The sequence below is a fragment of the Homo sapiens genome, chromosome 4, assembly GCF_000001405.40.
Source record: "Homo sapiens chromosome 4, GRCh38.p14 Primary Assembly".
NCBI lineage: Eukaryota > Metazoa > Chordata > Mammalia > Primates > Hominidae > Homo > Homo sapiens.
This window is the reverse complement of record NC_000004.12, coordinates 187634831-187651993: the sequence shown is the minus strand read 5'-3', so window position 1 is coordinate 187651993 and position 17163 is coordinate 187634831. Positions and strand designations below refer to the sequence as shown.

The following is a 17163-nucleotide window of genomic DNA, read 5'->3' as shown; positions in this document are numbered from 1 at the left end:
GAGAGAGGATTTCAGCTCTCTATTGCATCAAGGACAAGACTGCTGAGATTCAGATCTAATCTCTTGACTTCTGGAGAATAGGCCAAACAGATGACATGGCCAGATGGAAAGAGTCATAATAAAGCCAAGAAAAGAAAGACTGTGAAGAATTGCTAAGGTACCTACAGGATTGTTTCTTCTAGCTTTGACCTTTGCTGCCTTAGCATGGCCACTATCTAGCTGTGTGACCTTGAGCCGATTGCTTCATTTTTCTGGCCCTCATTTTCCTCATAAGTAACATGAAGAACAGCTATACATTAGGGTTATTGTGTGGATTAAATGAGATGATGTGTGTACAAGCAATTATCCAAGAGAAACCTTCTTATTGTCTCTGACATACGATAGGCATTCAAAAATAATAATAACATGACGGCTTACTCTGTGTCAAGCACATTTTAAGTGCCTTACTGACTCATATAATTTTCACATCAACCTTAAAAGGAAGGTATATTTAACAAACAAGGCCCAGAAATTAAAATACAGAAAAGTTCAGAAACTTACATAAGATCCTACAGCTGCTACCTAAATGCGTCCAGATGAATATGACTTTCCAATCATAACATAAAATCCAGTGTATCTTAATATATAATTATTTTTGTACCCAAATTAAATTACTTTCTTAAAAATTTGTTTATGAATAATATGAAATCTATGAAAGAAATTAAGAAAAAGTGGCTTATTTCATGGGTTTTGTGGTCATCCCTGATAAGATGATTTAATGAAATGACATAATTTGCTTTCCAGCAGACTATTTCATAGGTCACATAACATGATTAATGTAGTGTTTGAGTCAACTAAGTTATCTTGGACCAAGTCTTAGTGATTCTAAAGACAGGTGACTTCATGACTTGAACAAGAACATTGTCTCAAAGCCAAAAGAGAAGAGTCAACACCCTGCTACGCTGTAATTAAAACAGTCATTCTATCACACAGTCGTTCACCCTCTCTTCAAGTGTGTTAAGCACCATGGCACTGTAAGTCAAGCCCCAAACTCGAGGTGCTCAGAGTACACTGCACATCTCTGGGCTGATATCTACCAGTGCCAGGAGGAGAAAGGGGAGGAACAGGCCCTTCAATCCTGCGGGAGAATCTGGGCAGCTCAGCTATGTCTACTATAGCTCATTCCCTGCTGTACTTGTTCTGCTTCTTTACTTAAATGTTGGGGTAGCCTCTCCAGGGATTCCAGTGAGCATCCTGAAGGAAAATTACAGGCCTGACCACTGCATTTTGTCTCAAGACCCACAATTAGTACACAGTCTCCCTCTTCTACTGTCCATCCTAGATTCTACTCACCCTCAGACATCACCTCTGCTCTTCTGGATGGGTCATCTACTGGCATGAAACCCTGGGCACTATACCTGCCTCAGGCTGGGGCCGCTACACTTGTCCATTTACCGAAACAATTGGTCAAGGACTTTCCAAAGGTAGATTGCCAGCATATTCCTCCCTGTAGCAGCAGCTCCTCCTCCTGAGGTGGGGCATAAAGGAGGGCCAGAATCCATTACCTCTGTTAGGATGGTGACTGCTTTTCTTGTCCTTTTGTCCTTTGCCATGAGAAATTTAATGTGTCCAGGAAGCTACCACAGCTTAGATTCAAGGGAAATGATGATGTGTTCATGGCAGAAATGTTCTTCCTTTGGGAACCAAGATCTTTAAACCCACAGACCCCAGAGTTGCAGGAACAAGAAGCACAAATTCTCCAGTGGGTCACTGGGAATGTTGGTAACAGAGGCCACTCTTGCTTCTAGACTTTGGTTTCTCATCTATGTATTCTGTTTATCGGGAACCCAGAGCCCGCGAATGCTCATTGATTCAGGATAGATGCTATGTCCTGGAGAGTGCTGTCTCATTCTCACAGGGAAGCATGTCTGGGCCTACACCTCCGTTGTGTTTCAACAGGCTGTTTCAGCACTCTATCAGGTTGATGCAATAGAGTGGTGTGGCTTGTGATATGACCAGCAGATCCTGTCATTATGGACCCACTGATGGACCTGCTTGGTTTTAAGGTTTGTCCCTCTGCCTGACATAATTATAAGTGAAATTGCTGTTGTTGGATCTGACACTCTGCAAGCATTCAGATAACAGTGTTGCCTGAAACCATGGGGACAGAAAAAGCAAATTCATGTTCAGAATTTGTTACTGTCAAAAATGAACCACTGACCCTGGCAAGATGAAAGAAGTAGACTGTGGTGAACTTGCCGCTTAGTGATGGGATGATCTCCTGAAGAAATGATGCAATATTGGGGATGAAGATGTCATCTTTGTTACTGGCAAGTTTGCTGTTCGGCAGCACCTGGAGCTAGACCAGCTTTGATGAATGGGAGCCCATGCTGTTGGGCCCGAGCATAACCTAACATCTCTGACACTAAAGCTACTCTTTTCATGTGTTCATTTCAGCAGCACTGGAATGGCCAATGACAGAAACTGGCTGGCATCAAGTGGCTGAGTCAGTCCATCTACTTGGCTGTCTAGTGCCTCTTCCAAAATAGATGATTTCTGGTAGGTGTTAACCTGCAACTGAAAGATCTTCCCACATTGTGTCTTCTCCCATAGTGTCATCTACACAACACTACTCCAGATATCCTTGTCTATGATCTCCTAATTTCTCTCCCACTAGGCCTCTGATGATCTGTCTGTGCCCTTCAGCACCTACCCGTCTGTGTATATTCCAAACTGAGGCTGAGGCTGCATCTCTTTCAACATGAATTTGATGACCAAGTGTAGTGCGTGAAGCCCTGCACACTGAGAGAATTCCCCCTCATAGCTGTCTTTGAAAGCTGCACCTGAGTGAGTGAGGGGCCAAGCTTCCTCAACAGGCATTGGAAACAGATTTCCCTTAGGAAAGGATTGTGACATCAAGAGAGGCAGCTCTCTCCACCAACAGGCAATTCCAAGAGAGAGGTGATCATTGAGGACTGTCAGCCATAGCACTCTACGCAGCTGAGGGACTACATCCTTGAAGACTGAAGGGGGACCTGGGCAGAGGACAGCAGCTGCTACAGTCTATTTTATCTGTGGATAATCTAGGGATATGAATTGCTATTGCATTATTATCTTGGAAGCTCAAGTTGAGGATGAATATGGAAAAGTACCATAAAGGGAAATTGGAAGATGGAAGAATATTTAGTACCCTGTGAATTATTTGCATCCCTACTCATTTCCTCATAATTCCTCCTTGATTGTGCATTCCTCCTTGAGTTTCTTACATTTAAATATATTTTTGGCTCTTTCTAAATATTTCCAATGGAGGTGACTGCCTAGCATAAAATTATGGGGAGAAGCATAAAGAAGAGTAGTTAAAAGTAGGTATGAGACAAGGTGGGCAAGTCTAGCACATAAGCAGTGAACAGTGGCATTTGTGGCATATTTAGAGGCTGGAGATTAGATGTTAGATAGCAACTGAATCATTATGCTACTGTAAATACAGTCACAGGTCTGTGGAGTGTCTGTGTTCAAAACCCAGGATGGTACTAAAGCTTCATATAGATCCATGAAACCTCTTTGGTTCCTAAGTTGACATTTAGGAAGTTCTGCCTGCAGTGAGTTACATAGTTCTGTAACAGCCTGGATGAGTTATTGCAGCTGCAGAAAAAACTTCTGTTAATGATCTGTGAGTAATTTATGCAGCAAATGAATCTGGCTGACTTTTATCAGAGCCCCAATCAAAATAGAAATCACAGCTCTTGTTTTAAAAACCAAATGCTCTAGGATTTAAGAAATTGACATTATTTTATGTACATCTATATTAATTTTCTGAGTTTTAGTGCTCATTTTAAAGAAGATGATTATTACTGTAACACCTTTTAACAAAATTTTTTGGCAAACAAAGTCGTTGAAGCTGAACATCATTTAAGTGGAGCTATTAGATTTCTTTTTTCCAGCTTTATTGAGGTATAATTGACAAAATTGTGTATATTTGAAATATACAATATAATGCTTTGATATACTTATGTATTGTGAAATTCTTACCACAATAAAACTATCATATCCATCACCTCACCTCATACCTACTTTTTCTGTGTGTGGTGTGAGATGGTGGTCAAAAGATGCAAGCTTTAAGGTAAATAAGTTTTGCATACCAGTGTATGGCATGATGACTATAAATTAATAATAAGGTGTTGTATACTTGAAATTTGCTAAAAGAATAGATAGATCTGAGATGTTTTTACCACATACAGAAAAATAGGAATGAAGTGAGGTGATAAGTTTATTTAATTATTCATTTTTATATTTCACATGTGAGATCATGCAATATTTATTTGTCTTTCTATGCCTGGCTTATTTAAATTAGCAGGATGTCCTGGTTCATCCATTGTGTTGTAAAGATTTCCCTCTTTTGTAAGACTAAATAATATTTCATTATATATATATATATATATATATATATATATATGCTACATTTTCTTTATTCATTCATTTGTGGATGGACAGTTAGATTGTTTCTGTATCTTAGCGACCATGAATAATGCTGCTATGACTATGAGAGTGCATAGATCTGTTTGAGATAGTCGTTTTATTTCCTTTGGGTATATACCCAGAAGTGGGGTTGCTGAATCATATGGTAATTGCATTTTTAATTTTTTGAAAAACTTCCATACTGTTTTCAATTTAAATTCCCACCAACAGTGTACAAGGGGTCCCTTTTCTCCATACCCTCAACAACACTTGTGATCTTTTGACTTTTGATAATAACTGTCTTATTGAATGCTATGAGATATCTCATTGTTGTTTTAATTTGCATTTTCCTGAGGATTAGTAACACCGAGCACATTTTTATATTCCTGTTGGCCATCTGCATGGCTTTCTTTGGAAAAATGTCTATTGAGCTCCTTTGCCTATATTTTTATTGGGCTATTTGCTTTATTTGCTATTGGGTTATATATGTTCTTTATAGAGTAGTCTCTACTTTTCTGGGGGTATATCTTCCAGTACCTATAGTGGATACATGAAACAGCAGATAGTACCAAACTCTGTATACACTATGCTTTTTTCTCTATACATACATACTTACCATACAATTTGATTTATAAATTAGGGACAGTAAGAGATGAACAATAGCTAACAGTAAAGTAGAACAGTTATAACAATATACTGTAATTAAAATTATGGGAATATGGAATATGGTCTCTAAATTTTTTTTTTTTTTTTTTTTTTTTTTTTAGACAGAGTCTCACTCTGTCACTCAGGCTGGAGGGCAGTGGCATGATCTGGGCTCAATGAAACCTCTGCCTTCTGGGTTCAAGCGATCCTCCCACCTTTGCCTCCTAGGTCGCTAGCATTACAGGCATGTTCCTCCATGCCTGGCTAATTTTTGTATTTTCTGTAGAGACAGGGTTCTGCCATGTTGGCCAGGCTGGTCTAGTACTCCTGGGCTCAAGTGATCCACCAATCTCAGCCTCCCAAAGTACTGGGATTACAAGTGTGAGCTACCATGCCTGGCCCATATTTTATTGCGCTGCATTCACCCTTTTTATGATGATGTGAGATGATAAAATGCTTACCTAATGAGATGAAGTGAGGTAAATAATGCAGGCATTGTGATGTAGCATTAGGCTACTATTGATCTTCTGATCATATGTCAGAAGGAGGATCATCTGCTGTGGGTGTTCCTGATCTTTGAGCCATGATAATGTTACTGGTTGGATGTCAGGAGCAGGCCATGTGGATGATTAAAAGATGAATATCATATACAGCATGGATATGTTGGACAAAAAGATGATTCACATCCCAGACAGAATGGAGCAGGTCAGAGTGAGATTTCATCATGCTAATTTAAAACTTATAAACTGTTTATTTTGAGAATTTCCCATTTAATATTTTCAGACTGCAGTTAACCATGGGTAACTGAAACCATGGAAAGTGAAACTATGGATGGGGGTTGAGGGGCTATCGCATATGTTGAATATGAACCCCTTATTAGATAATTGGTTTGTAACTATTTTCCCCCATTCTGTAGGTCACCTTTTCATTTTCTGGATTGTTTTCTTTGCTGTGTAAACATGTTTCAGTGTTTTGTAGTACCACTTATTATATTTGCTTTTGTTGCCTGAAACTTTTGGGTTGTAACCAAAAAATACATATATAGCCAGAACCAATATCAAGGAGTTTTTCCCTTGTATTTTCTGTTAGAAGTTGAAGGGTTTGGGTCTTAAGTTTAATTATTTACTCCATTTTGAGTTGATTTTTCTATATGGTGTAGGATAAGTGTCTAATTTCATTCTTTTGCATGTGGATGTCCAGTTTTCCTAACATAATTTATTGAAAACACTGTATTTTCTTCATTGTTTTTTCTGGACACCTTTGTGGAAAATTAGTTGACCACATATGTGTGGGTTTATTTCTAAGCTCTCTATTCTGCTCCATTGATCTATATGTCTAATTTTTATCCCAATACCATACTGTTTTGATTACTATATCTTTGTAACATAATTGGAAATCAGAAAGTGTAATACCTCCAGGTTTGTTCTTCTTGCTCAAGATTGCTTTAGCTATTAGGGGTCTTTTGTGGTTCCATAAAAATTTTAGAATCGTTTTTCTATTTCTGTGAAAAATGTCATTGAAATTCTGGTATGGAACGCAATGAGTCTATAGATTGCTTTGGATAGTGTAGATATTTTAACAACATCAATTTTTCCAAATCATGAACACGGAATATCTTTTTATTTATTTGCATCTTCTTCAATTTCCTTTATCAAAGTTTTATAGTTTTCAGTGTACAGATCTTTCACCTTCTTGTTTAAATTTATTTCCAAATATATTATTTTTGATGCTATTTTAAATGGAATTTAAAAAATTATTTTTCAAGCAGTTTCAGTTAGTGTATAGAAATATTACTACCTCTTGTATGTTGCTTTTGTATCCTGAAACCTTAATGAAATTGTTTCTTAGTCCTAACAGTGTTTTTGGTGGAGTCTTCAGGATTATCTATATATAGATCATATCATTTGCAACAGGAGACTATTTTACATCTTCCTTTCTAATTTAGATGCCTTTTTTTTTTTCTGTTTTCTTGCCTAATTGCCCTAACTAAGCCTTCTAGTACTATGTTAAGTTGAAGTGGTGAGAGTGGGCAACCTTGTTCTTGATCATTGAGGAAAAACTTCCACCTTTTCACTCCTGAGTATACGGTTATTTTGGAGCTTGTTACATATAAACTGTGTTATGTTGAGATACATTTCTTCTATATCCAATTTGTTGAGAGCTTTTATCATGAAACAATGTTGAATTGTGTTAAATACTTTTTCTGCATCTATAAGATAATCATATGATTTCTACTTTTCATATGGTTAATGTGTATCACACTTATTGATTTTGGTATGTTGAACCATCCTTGCATCTCAGAGATAAATACCACTTGATAAAGGTATGTGATCCTTTTAATGCTGTTAAATTCAGGTTGCTAATATTTTGTTAAGGATTTTTGCCTCTGTGTTCCTCAGGGATATTGGCCTGTAATTTTATATTTTCGTGTCTTTATCTGGCTTTGGTATTAAGGTAATATTAGCCTTAATACCTTAATATTAGCCTTAGTTTAAAATTTTCTTTATCTTTCAATTTTTTGGATGAATTTGAAAGTGACTTACATTAATTCTCCTTAAATGTTCAGTAGAATTCACTGTTGAATTCAACAGTGAGGTCTACCAAATAGTAAATTTTATCAGGTCCTGGGTTTTTCTTTGGTGAGCGATTTTTTATTATTGGTTAAATTTCCTTAGTTATTATTAGTCTGTCCAAGTTTTCTATTTCTTCATGATTCAGTTTTGGTAGGTTTTGTGTTTCTAGAAATTTACCCAAATTCATCTAGCTTATCAAATTTGTTGGTATATAATTGTTCATAATAGTCTCTTTCAGTAATTTGTGTCTTTGTGATATCATTTAAAGGCCTCCTCTTTAATGTGTACTTTTATTTATTTGGGTCTTCTCTCTTTCTTTCTCAGTTAATTTAAATGAAAGTTTGTTAATTTTTTAAATTTTTCAAAAAACATGTATTAGTTTTCTTAATCCTTTACACTTTTTTTTCTTTTTTTGAGCAGAGTTTCTCTCTTGTTGCCCAAGCTGGAGTGCAATGGTGCAAACTCGGCTCAACACAACCTCTGCCTTCCAGGTTCAAGTGATTCTCCTACCTCAACCTCCCAAGTAGCTGGGATTACAGGCATGCACCACACGCCTGGCTAATTTTGTATTTTTAGTAGAAATTGGGTTTCTCCATGTTAGTCAGGTTAGTCACGAACTCCTGACCTCCACCCACCTCAGCCTCCCAAAGTGCTGGGATTACAGGCATGAGTCAGTGTGCCTAGCCATGATCCTTTACATTGTTTTTTAAGTATCTATTTATTTCTGCTCTGATCTTTATTATTTCTTTTCTTCTGCTGATTTTAAGTATAGATTGTTCTTTCTAATTTCTTAAGGTGTAAAGTTGGGTTATTTATTTGAGATGTTTCTTTTTTCTTAATATAGGTGTTTATTACTGTAAACTTCCTGTACTGCTTATGCTGCATCCCATAAGTTTTGGTATGTTTTACTTTTATTTGTTTTACAATCTTTTTATTTCCCTTTTGATGTCTTCTTTGACTCATTTGTTGTTTAGGAGTGTGTTGTTTAATTTTCACATATTTGTAAATTTTTAGTTTTTCTCTTATTGTTGATTTCTAGTTTCATATCATGTGGTTGGAAAAATACTTGATATGATTTCAATTTTTTTACCTGTGCTATGGCCTATTTTTTTTTTTTTTTTTTTTTGCCTCAACTATGATCTGTCCTGGAGGATGTTTAATGTGCACTTGAAAAAAATGTGTATTTAGTTACTGTTGGATGGAGTGTTCTGCATATGTCTGTTAGGACAGTTGGTCTGAGTGTAGTTCAAATCCAATGTGTTTATTAATTTTGTTTCTGGAAAGTATGTTCATTGTTGAAAGTGAAGGTGTTGAATTTACCTACTATTTGTTGTAGTGTTGTGTATTTCTCCATTTAGTTCTGGTAATATTTATGTTATATATGTAGGTGCCTCAATGTTGTGTGCGTATGTATTTACAATTGTTATATACTCTGGATTTGTTGATTCTTTTGTCTGTCTATAATGACCTTCTTTGTCTCTTGTGGCAGTTTTGGACTTATAGTCTGTATTGTCTGATGTAAGTATAGCAACCTCTCCATTGTTTTGGTTTCCATTTCCATTTCCATCCCTTCACTTTTGACCTATAAATGTCATTAAAGCTGAGGTGAGTCTCTTGTAGGCAGCATATAGTTTGGTTTGTGTGGGTGTGTGCATATGTGCACATTTGTTTATTTTTATCCACTCTATGTCTTCTGATTGAATAATTTAATCCATTTATATTTAAAGTAAGTATTGATAGGCATGGACTTACTATTGCCTTTTTTCAATTGTGTCTGTCTCTTTTGTAGTTCTTTTGCTTCTTTCTTCCTCTCTTGTACACTTCCTTTGTTATTGATTTTCTGTAGTGATATCTGATGATTCCTTACTCTTTATCTTATCTGTATCTACTATAGGTTTTTCCTGTGCAATTACCAGGAGGCTAACACAAAACACATTAGATTTATAACAGTCTATTTTATACTAATAACAAGTTAACCTTAATCACATACAAAAACTCTGCCCTTTCTTTCCTCCACTCCCCCTAAATATATTTTATGTTTCTTGATCTCACAGTTTACATATTTTTATTATGTATGTTTATTGAAAAATTAACTATAGTTTTAAAAAATACTTTTGTCTTTTAACCATTATACCACAGTTAAGAGTGATTTACCTATCACTATTATAGTATTTGAATATTTTCAATTTGACTATGTATTTATTTTTACTAATGATTTTTATATTTTCTTATATTTTCATCTTACTAAAGTCTTTTCATTTCAGCATGGAGAACTTTCTTGTAAGGCAGGTCTTGTGGTAACAGACTCCCTCATTTGTTTTTTGTTTGTTTGTTTGTTTTTTGGTCTGGGAAAGTCTTTATCTCTTCTTCATTTCTTAAGGACAGATTGGCTCAGTAAAGTATTCTTGTTTGGTAGTTTTTCTCTTCTTATTTTAGCACTTAGGATTTATCAGCCTATTCTTCTGGCCTGAAAAGTTTCTGCTAAGAAATCATCTGTAGTCTAATGAAATTTCCCCTTTATGTGAAGAGTCTCTTTTCTCTTGATGCTTTCAAAATCTCTCTTTCTTTGATACTTAAAAATTTTATTATAATGTGCCTCAGTGGAGACCTCTTTGAGTTAAATTTGTTTGGGAAATTTTGCGCTTAATGTATCCTGATGTATATATATTTCCTCAGATTTCAGGAATTTTCAGCCACTATTTCTTTAAATATTATTTCTTTTTCTCTCTCTTCTCCTTACATTATCATAATGTGTAAATTGGGCTGCTTGATGGTATCTCATAAATCCTATAGGCTTTCTGCACTCATTTTCACTCTTTTTTTCTTTTTCTTCCTTTAACTGGGTAATTTCAAATTACCTGTCTTTGAGCTCGCAAATTTTTTTTCTGCTTGATCAAGTCTGCTTTGTCACTGTTGTATTTTTTTCATTTCATTCATTGTATTCATCAGCTTCAGAATTTGTTTTATTGTTTTTGAAAATTATTTATATCTCTTTATTTACCCCATTTTTTTCATGTATTGTTTTCTTGATATCATTGAGTCTGCTTGTAGCTTGAGCTTTCTTAAGGCATTTATTTTGAAATCTTTCTGTGACAATTTGTAGATCTCCATTATGGAAGACTGGCTACTGGAAATTATGGTTTTCCTTTGGTAGTGTCATGTTTTCTTGATGTTTTCTGCTTTTCTTGTCTTGCATTGATGTCTGCATATTTGCTGGGGCAGTCACCTATTCCAGAATTTACAGGCTACTTTCTGTGAGGAAAGTCCTTCACCTACAGGTGGTATGAGGGTACTGATGGGTGGGATGCAGCAATTCCAGCTCCAGTGAAGATACAAAAGCATAGTCTCTGTGTATTTCCATCCGTTGAAGATTGCAAGGGTCCTCAGTGGCCAAGGCTGCAGATGTCCACAGTGGTGGTGAGGGCTGTTGGGTTAAGAGTTGGTGAAGGTGGTAGGAGCCCTCCTGATTTCTTGTTCTCCCGTGTGGGAAGTCATGGCCAAGGGGATCCCTCTTGGTGTTGGGTTTGGTTCATGGTTATGTTCATGGTGGCAGTGGCACTGGTGCTTAACATGCAGGCACCCCGGCTCCAGTGTTGGTCTCAATGTGCAATGAACAGATGCTTATGGAACAGCTGGAAAGCCAGGGTCTGAAACAAAGGCATGTGGATACCTATAGTTTCTGTATGGTCCAGGGCATGGGTGCTTCTAAAGCAGTAGTGGCTCTTGTGTTGTAGGCACTGGCACATGTAGAGCTGTTATGGAACCGGGGTCCAGAATGTGGGTTTGTGTGGAGCAACCATTGCTCTAAGGTCTGTGATGCAGATGTGACTTCTATAGCAGTGACTGTAGGGTCCAACGCCTGTGAGGTCACAGAATGGCTGCAGAGCTAGGATCCGAAGCATGGGCTTGTGAAGTTATTATTATTATTATTATTATTTCTGACAACACAATTGACTCAAAAGATACCACTATCCTTTCAGGAATCCCTAATTTCATAGGCAATTTATATGAACAAAACTAATGAGCCTTCAAAATTCCTTAGTCTAAACTATTCAATAGTGTTTTTACCCTAAAGCAATAATTTTGGTAAAGTACATAACACTAATGTATTCATAATAAAAAAAAGTGTCAGGAAAGGTTTAAAATGTAAAGGCAGTAAGTCTAAAATAACACAATTAAGAATAAGAGGATATTTTCCTCACACTATAAGATGTGTAAGAATTCTTACAATGTTCCTTTTAATATTTAGTAACACTATCTAATAGTACTTTTTGGCCGGGTGCAGTGGCTCACGCCTGTAATCCCAACACTTTGGGAGGCCGAGGCGGGCGGATCACGAGTTCAGGAGATCGAGATCACAGTGAAACACCGTCTCTACTAAAAATACAAAAAATTAGCTGGGGGCAGTGGCGGGTGCCTGTAGTCCCAGCTACTCGGGAGGCTGAGGCAGGAGAATGGCATGAATCCGGGAGGCAGAGCTTGCAGTGAGCCGAGATCGCGCCACTGCACTCCAGCCTGGGCTATAGAGGGAGACTCCGTCTCAAAAAAAAAAAAAAAAAAAAAAAAAAAAAAGTAGAACTTTTTTCTTTTAAAGTAAGAAAAGTATTTTGATAGTATTTTTAAGTACCATGTTTTTCTTTGTATGTTACTAAAAACCACTGTCATGCAAATTCTAGTAATGAAAACAATTTAAGCTCCAAGTTTTTCCTACCAGAAGAGCCTCAGGCACAGATGGCCTTTTTTTTAATCTAGTTAACACCATATCCCAGGTCATCATCTGATTAAGCAAGAGTGCATTTCCATGAACAAGACACTATTCTTTGGGAAATATCCACAACTTATATTGAAATTGCTGTGCCACAGCATATAACCGCTCCCTTCAGTTTTTTTGAAAGTATCTTTTCTTGATAATAGGCAATTGTGTGGGCCTCCTGAGAAAAACACTGGGTTAGTGGGAAGTGATGGATGAAGAAGATTTCAGTAAAAATTTGAGCAAATACTTCTCTTTAGTTTCCACATACTTTAATATTTAGGAACATTTTGTAATTTGTGAAACACACTTTCAGAGTAAAAAAATAATAATTACTAAAACCAAAAAACAGAAAGAGAATATACAAAATTATCTTATGCTAGGGTGATAAAAATTATGAATATGATTGTACATATCAGTGAACACTGTTTCTTATATAATATATTAAATGTATAAAATATAAATTTAACAAATGAAATTATGTGTGTAGTTTTTGGTAATCTTTTTTGTCTATTATATATTATTAAATGCATATCAGTAGATACACTTCTAAAATATGATTTTACAATAATAAATATCCTACCAACCAAAAAAAGCCCAGGACCAGATGGATTCACAGCTGAATTCTACCAGATGTACAGACAAGAACTGGTACTATTCCTGCTAAAACTATTACAAAAAAGGAATCATGTTACCCCACTTTAAACTAGACTACAGAGCTACAGTAACCCAAATAGTATGGTACTAGTACAAAAACAGACACATAAACCAATGGAACAGAATAGAGAACCCAGAAATAAGGCCACACACCTACAACTATCTGATCTTTGACAAAGCTGCAAAAAACAAGCAATGGGGAAAGGATTCCCTATTTAATAAATGGTGCTGGGATAACTGGCTAGCAATATGCAGAAGATTGAAATTGGACCCCTTCCTTATACCATGTACAAAAATCAACTTAAGATGATTGAAGACTTAAATGTAAAACCCAAAACTGTCAAAACTCTGAAAGACAACCTAGGCAAAACCATTCTGGTCGTAGGAGATGGCAAAAGTTTCATGATGAAGACACCAAAAGCAATTACAGCAAAAGCAAAAATTGACAAATGGGATCTAATTAAACTTAAGATCTTCTGCACAGAAAAACTATCAATAGAGTAAACAGCCTGCAGGATGGGAGAAAATATTTGCAAAGTATGCACCTGTTAAAGGCCTAATATTCATAATCTATAAGACACCTAAACAAATTTACAAGAAAGAAAACAATCCCATCAAAAGTGAGCAAAGGACGTGAACAGACACTTTTCAAAAGAAGACATACATGCAGCCAAAAAGCATATGAAAAAAAGCTCAGTATCACTGATCATTAGAGAAGTACAAATTCAAACAACAATGTGATACCATCTCACACCAGTCAGAATGGCTATTGCTAAAAGTCAAAAAATAACAGATGCTGTTGAGGTTGTGGAGAAAAAGGAACACTTTTATACCATTGGTGGGAATGTAAATTAGTTCAACCATTGCGGAAAGCAGTGTGGCACTTCCTCAAAGAGCTAAAAAGAGAACAACCATTTGACCCAGCAATATCATTATTGGGTATATACCCAAAGGAATATAAATTATCCTACCATAAAGATACATGGATGTGTTTGTTCATTGCAGCACTATTCACAATAGCAAAGACGTGGAATCAATGGCAGATTGAATAAAAAAAGTGGTACATATACACGATGGAATACTATGCAATCACAAAAGGGAGCACAATCATGTCCTTTGCTGAAACATGGATGGAGCTGGAGGCCACTATCCCTAGCAAACTAACACAGAAACAGAAAACCAAATGCCACATGTTCTCACTTACAAGTGGGCACTAGATGATGAGAATACATAGACAAGAAGAGGGGAACAACATACACTGGGGCCTACTTGAGGGTGAAGAGAGGGAGGAGGGAGGACGGAGGGGATTAAGAAAAATAACTATTGGCTACAAGGCTTAGTACCTGGGCGATTAAATTATCTGTATACCAAACCCCTGTGTCGTGAGTTTACCTATGTAATAAACCTTCAATATACTTAAAGTTTTTAAAAAAATACACATAACATTTAAAAATATGATTTAATGTCTAAATTATAGTTTATTGTATAAATATACCATAAGTTCATAAATCAATCCTCTATTATTGATCATTTAGGTCATTCACAATTTTTACCATTATAAAAACTCAAGGTAATTAAATACTAATGCTAATTTTTATGTTTTGCCAGTATAAATTCCCAGAATTAGAATTGCTGTATGCACATTTTAAGGCTTTTGATAATTTTTAAGTTCTTTACTGTTCTTAAGCACAGATCTAATAAATTTTGGTCACATTCCTGGAATAACAGTAGAAATTAATTATGTAGACACAAATCTGACATTTCTAGGGTTATTTTCCTTCCCTTGAAAGTGCTCCTTCTCAGCTGAGCACTGTGGCTCACGTCTGTAATCCCAGCACTTTGGGGGGCCAAGGCAGGCGGATCATGAGGTCAAGAGATCAAGACCATCCTGGCCAACATGGCGAAACCCCATCTCTACTAAAAATACAAAAATTAGCTGGGTGTGGTGGCATGCACCTGTAGTCCCAACTACTCAGGAGGCTGAGGCAGGAGAATAGTTTGAACTTGGGAGGTGGAAATTGCAGTGAGCCAAGATTGTGCCACTGCACTCCAGCCTAGCAACAGAGCAAGACTCCGTCAAAAAAAGAAAGAAAGAAAGAAAGAAAGTGCTCCTGAACATTTCATTCATTGACAAAAGCTGTTCATTCAATGACTCCATCATCTGTTGAATTCCTGTTACTTGCAAAGTGCCTGATAAGTACGGGGGATACAGCAGTAAGATTTTTAAATAGAGGCACAACCCTGATAGAGCTAGCTTACAGGCTAATGTAGAATATAAATAAATAAACAAGAATTGCAATAAGTAGTGTTTCTCAATGTATAGTCAGAGATGTTGCCCCAAAGATGTATTGGAATCACCCATGAGGTTATTCCAAATCTAATATCCACCTTTAAAAAAAGTATGGGACCCCAGTCAAGAAACTCAATGATAGTAAGTTAGTTAGTGAAAGTTTTCCAAGTATTAAAAAAGAAAAAGAAAAATAGAACCAGTGTTAAGCATCACTGAAAAATAATATTTCAGTACTATATTTGATGTGATCAAGAAATTAAAGTACATAAGAGGGACACCTAGATCAGCTTTGAGGCCCTAAAGATTGTGTCTCAGAAGAAGTGATATCTGAGACGATATATGAAAAATAAAGATGAGTAGAAGCTGGTTAAAAATGAGCATGAGAGGCAAGGAGAGGGGACTGTCCACGGCATTCTGGGCAGAATCAACAGCAAATAGAAATGCTGAAAGTGAGAAATAGCATACCATAAAAAATGAATGTAATTTAGAACTGTGGGACTGTTGCACTTAAAGGTGTTTTGGTTGGGTAGAAACGAGGATAAAAAAGTAAATGGAGATGATAACATGAAGGAATTTATAAACAACTTACCTAGATTTACTTAAGAACTTTGGGAATTTATTGATTGGTATTAACAAGGGAATGGCACAATCAGATTAGAATTTTACAAAGATCCCTTGGATACAGTGTGGAAAGTGGATTGGAGCAGGGCCCAGTTAGAAACAGGGAGGTAAACTGCAATGAGGCTACAAGAGATGAGAGTAGCATGCTGTACAGTGATGCCGGTAGGACAGAAGGGCAGGGGCTGGTGTTTCTAGTGATGAAATTGACAAAGCTATGTGATTTCCAGGATGGGGAGTGTCGGATGGGAAACAGCAAAGGGAGAGCCCTAGAAATCTGGTTTGAGCAGCTGGGAAAGCAGATGCACTCACCAAGAAAAACGTTTGCAGAGAAGCCAGTAGAGAGGGGAGGTCCAGAGACACTCAAGTTGAACAAGTTACCTTGAGATTCCTGTGAGGTAAACAATGGAGAGCTTGAACAAGCAGTTGAGCCTGAAGTTTAGAAAAGAAATGGGTGGACATAGAGATGGGGTGTTGGAATTATTATTATTATTATTATTATTGTTTTTTTGAGATGGAGTCTTGCTGTGTCACCCAGGCTGGAGTGCAGTGGTGTGATCTCGGTTCACTGCAACCTCCGCCTGCCGGGTTGAAGCGATTCTCCTGCCTCAGCCTCCCGAGTAGCTGGGATTACAGGCGCCCGCCATCGTGCCCAGCTAATTTTTGTATTTTTTAGTAGAGACAGGGTTTCACCATTTTGGCCAGGCTGGTCTCGAACTCCTGACCTCGTGATCCACCCACCTCAGCCTCCCAAAGTGCTGGGATTACAGGTGTGAGCCAACACGCCTGGCCAGAATTATTAATATACATAGTAATCAAAGCCAACTGAATGTATGATTACTTGGAGAATTTAAAGAATGGAAAAAGAATAGAGCTTAGGTTAGAAGCCCCCAAAACATCAATATATTAAGGACAGAAGATTGCTGCAAATAATCCTGACATGAAGTAACCAATGACGTGGAGTAACCAACAAAATAAAAAATACAAAAACAAAACAGAAAAAGTGCAGGTCAGAAAAATTAAGGGAGGAATATTTTTATGCCCATTTGTTAAAGTTTGTGGATAAGATCAGACATTCCTATAAAAATTTTAAAAACTATTAGGTGATCTATTGAACAATTAAAACTTAAGACACAATGGCCCTTGGTCCCTTAACTATAATTCACTATTTTACATATAAAGACTGCTCTTCAACT

At 36.7% G+C, this 17163-nt stretch overlaps 2 long non-coding RNA genes across 4 annotated transcripts in view; both read left to right on the top strand.

Moving 5' to 3' along the window:
- The window catches only part of LINC02492 (long intergenic non-protein coding RNA 2492), a 139764-nt gene that overhangs the window by 20648 nt on the left and 101953 nt on the right, over positions 1 to 17163 (top strand). The gene's annotated exons all lie outside the window — the stretch shown is intronic.
- LOC105377604 (uncharacterized) overlaps positions 5630 to 17163 on the top strand; it is an 81735-nt gene continuing 70201 nt past the window's right edge. For all 3 annotated transcript variants that reach the window (XR_939614.3, XR_939612.3, XR_939613.3), the window contains exon 1: positions 5630 to 5784. This is a non-coding gene — a long non-coding RNA (uncharacterized LOC105377604). The remainder of the gene's footprint in view (positions 5785 to 17163) is intronic.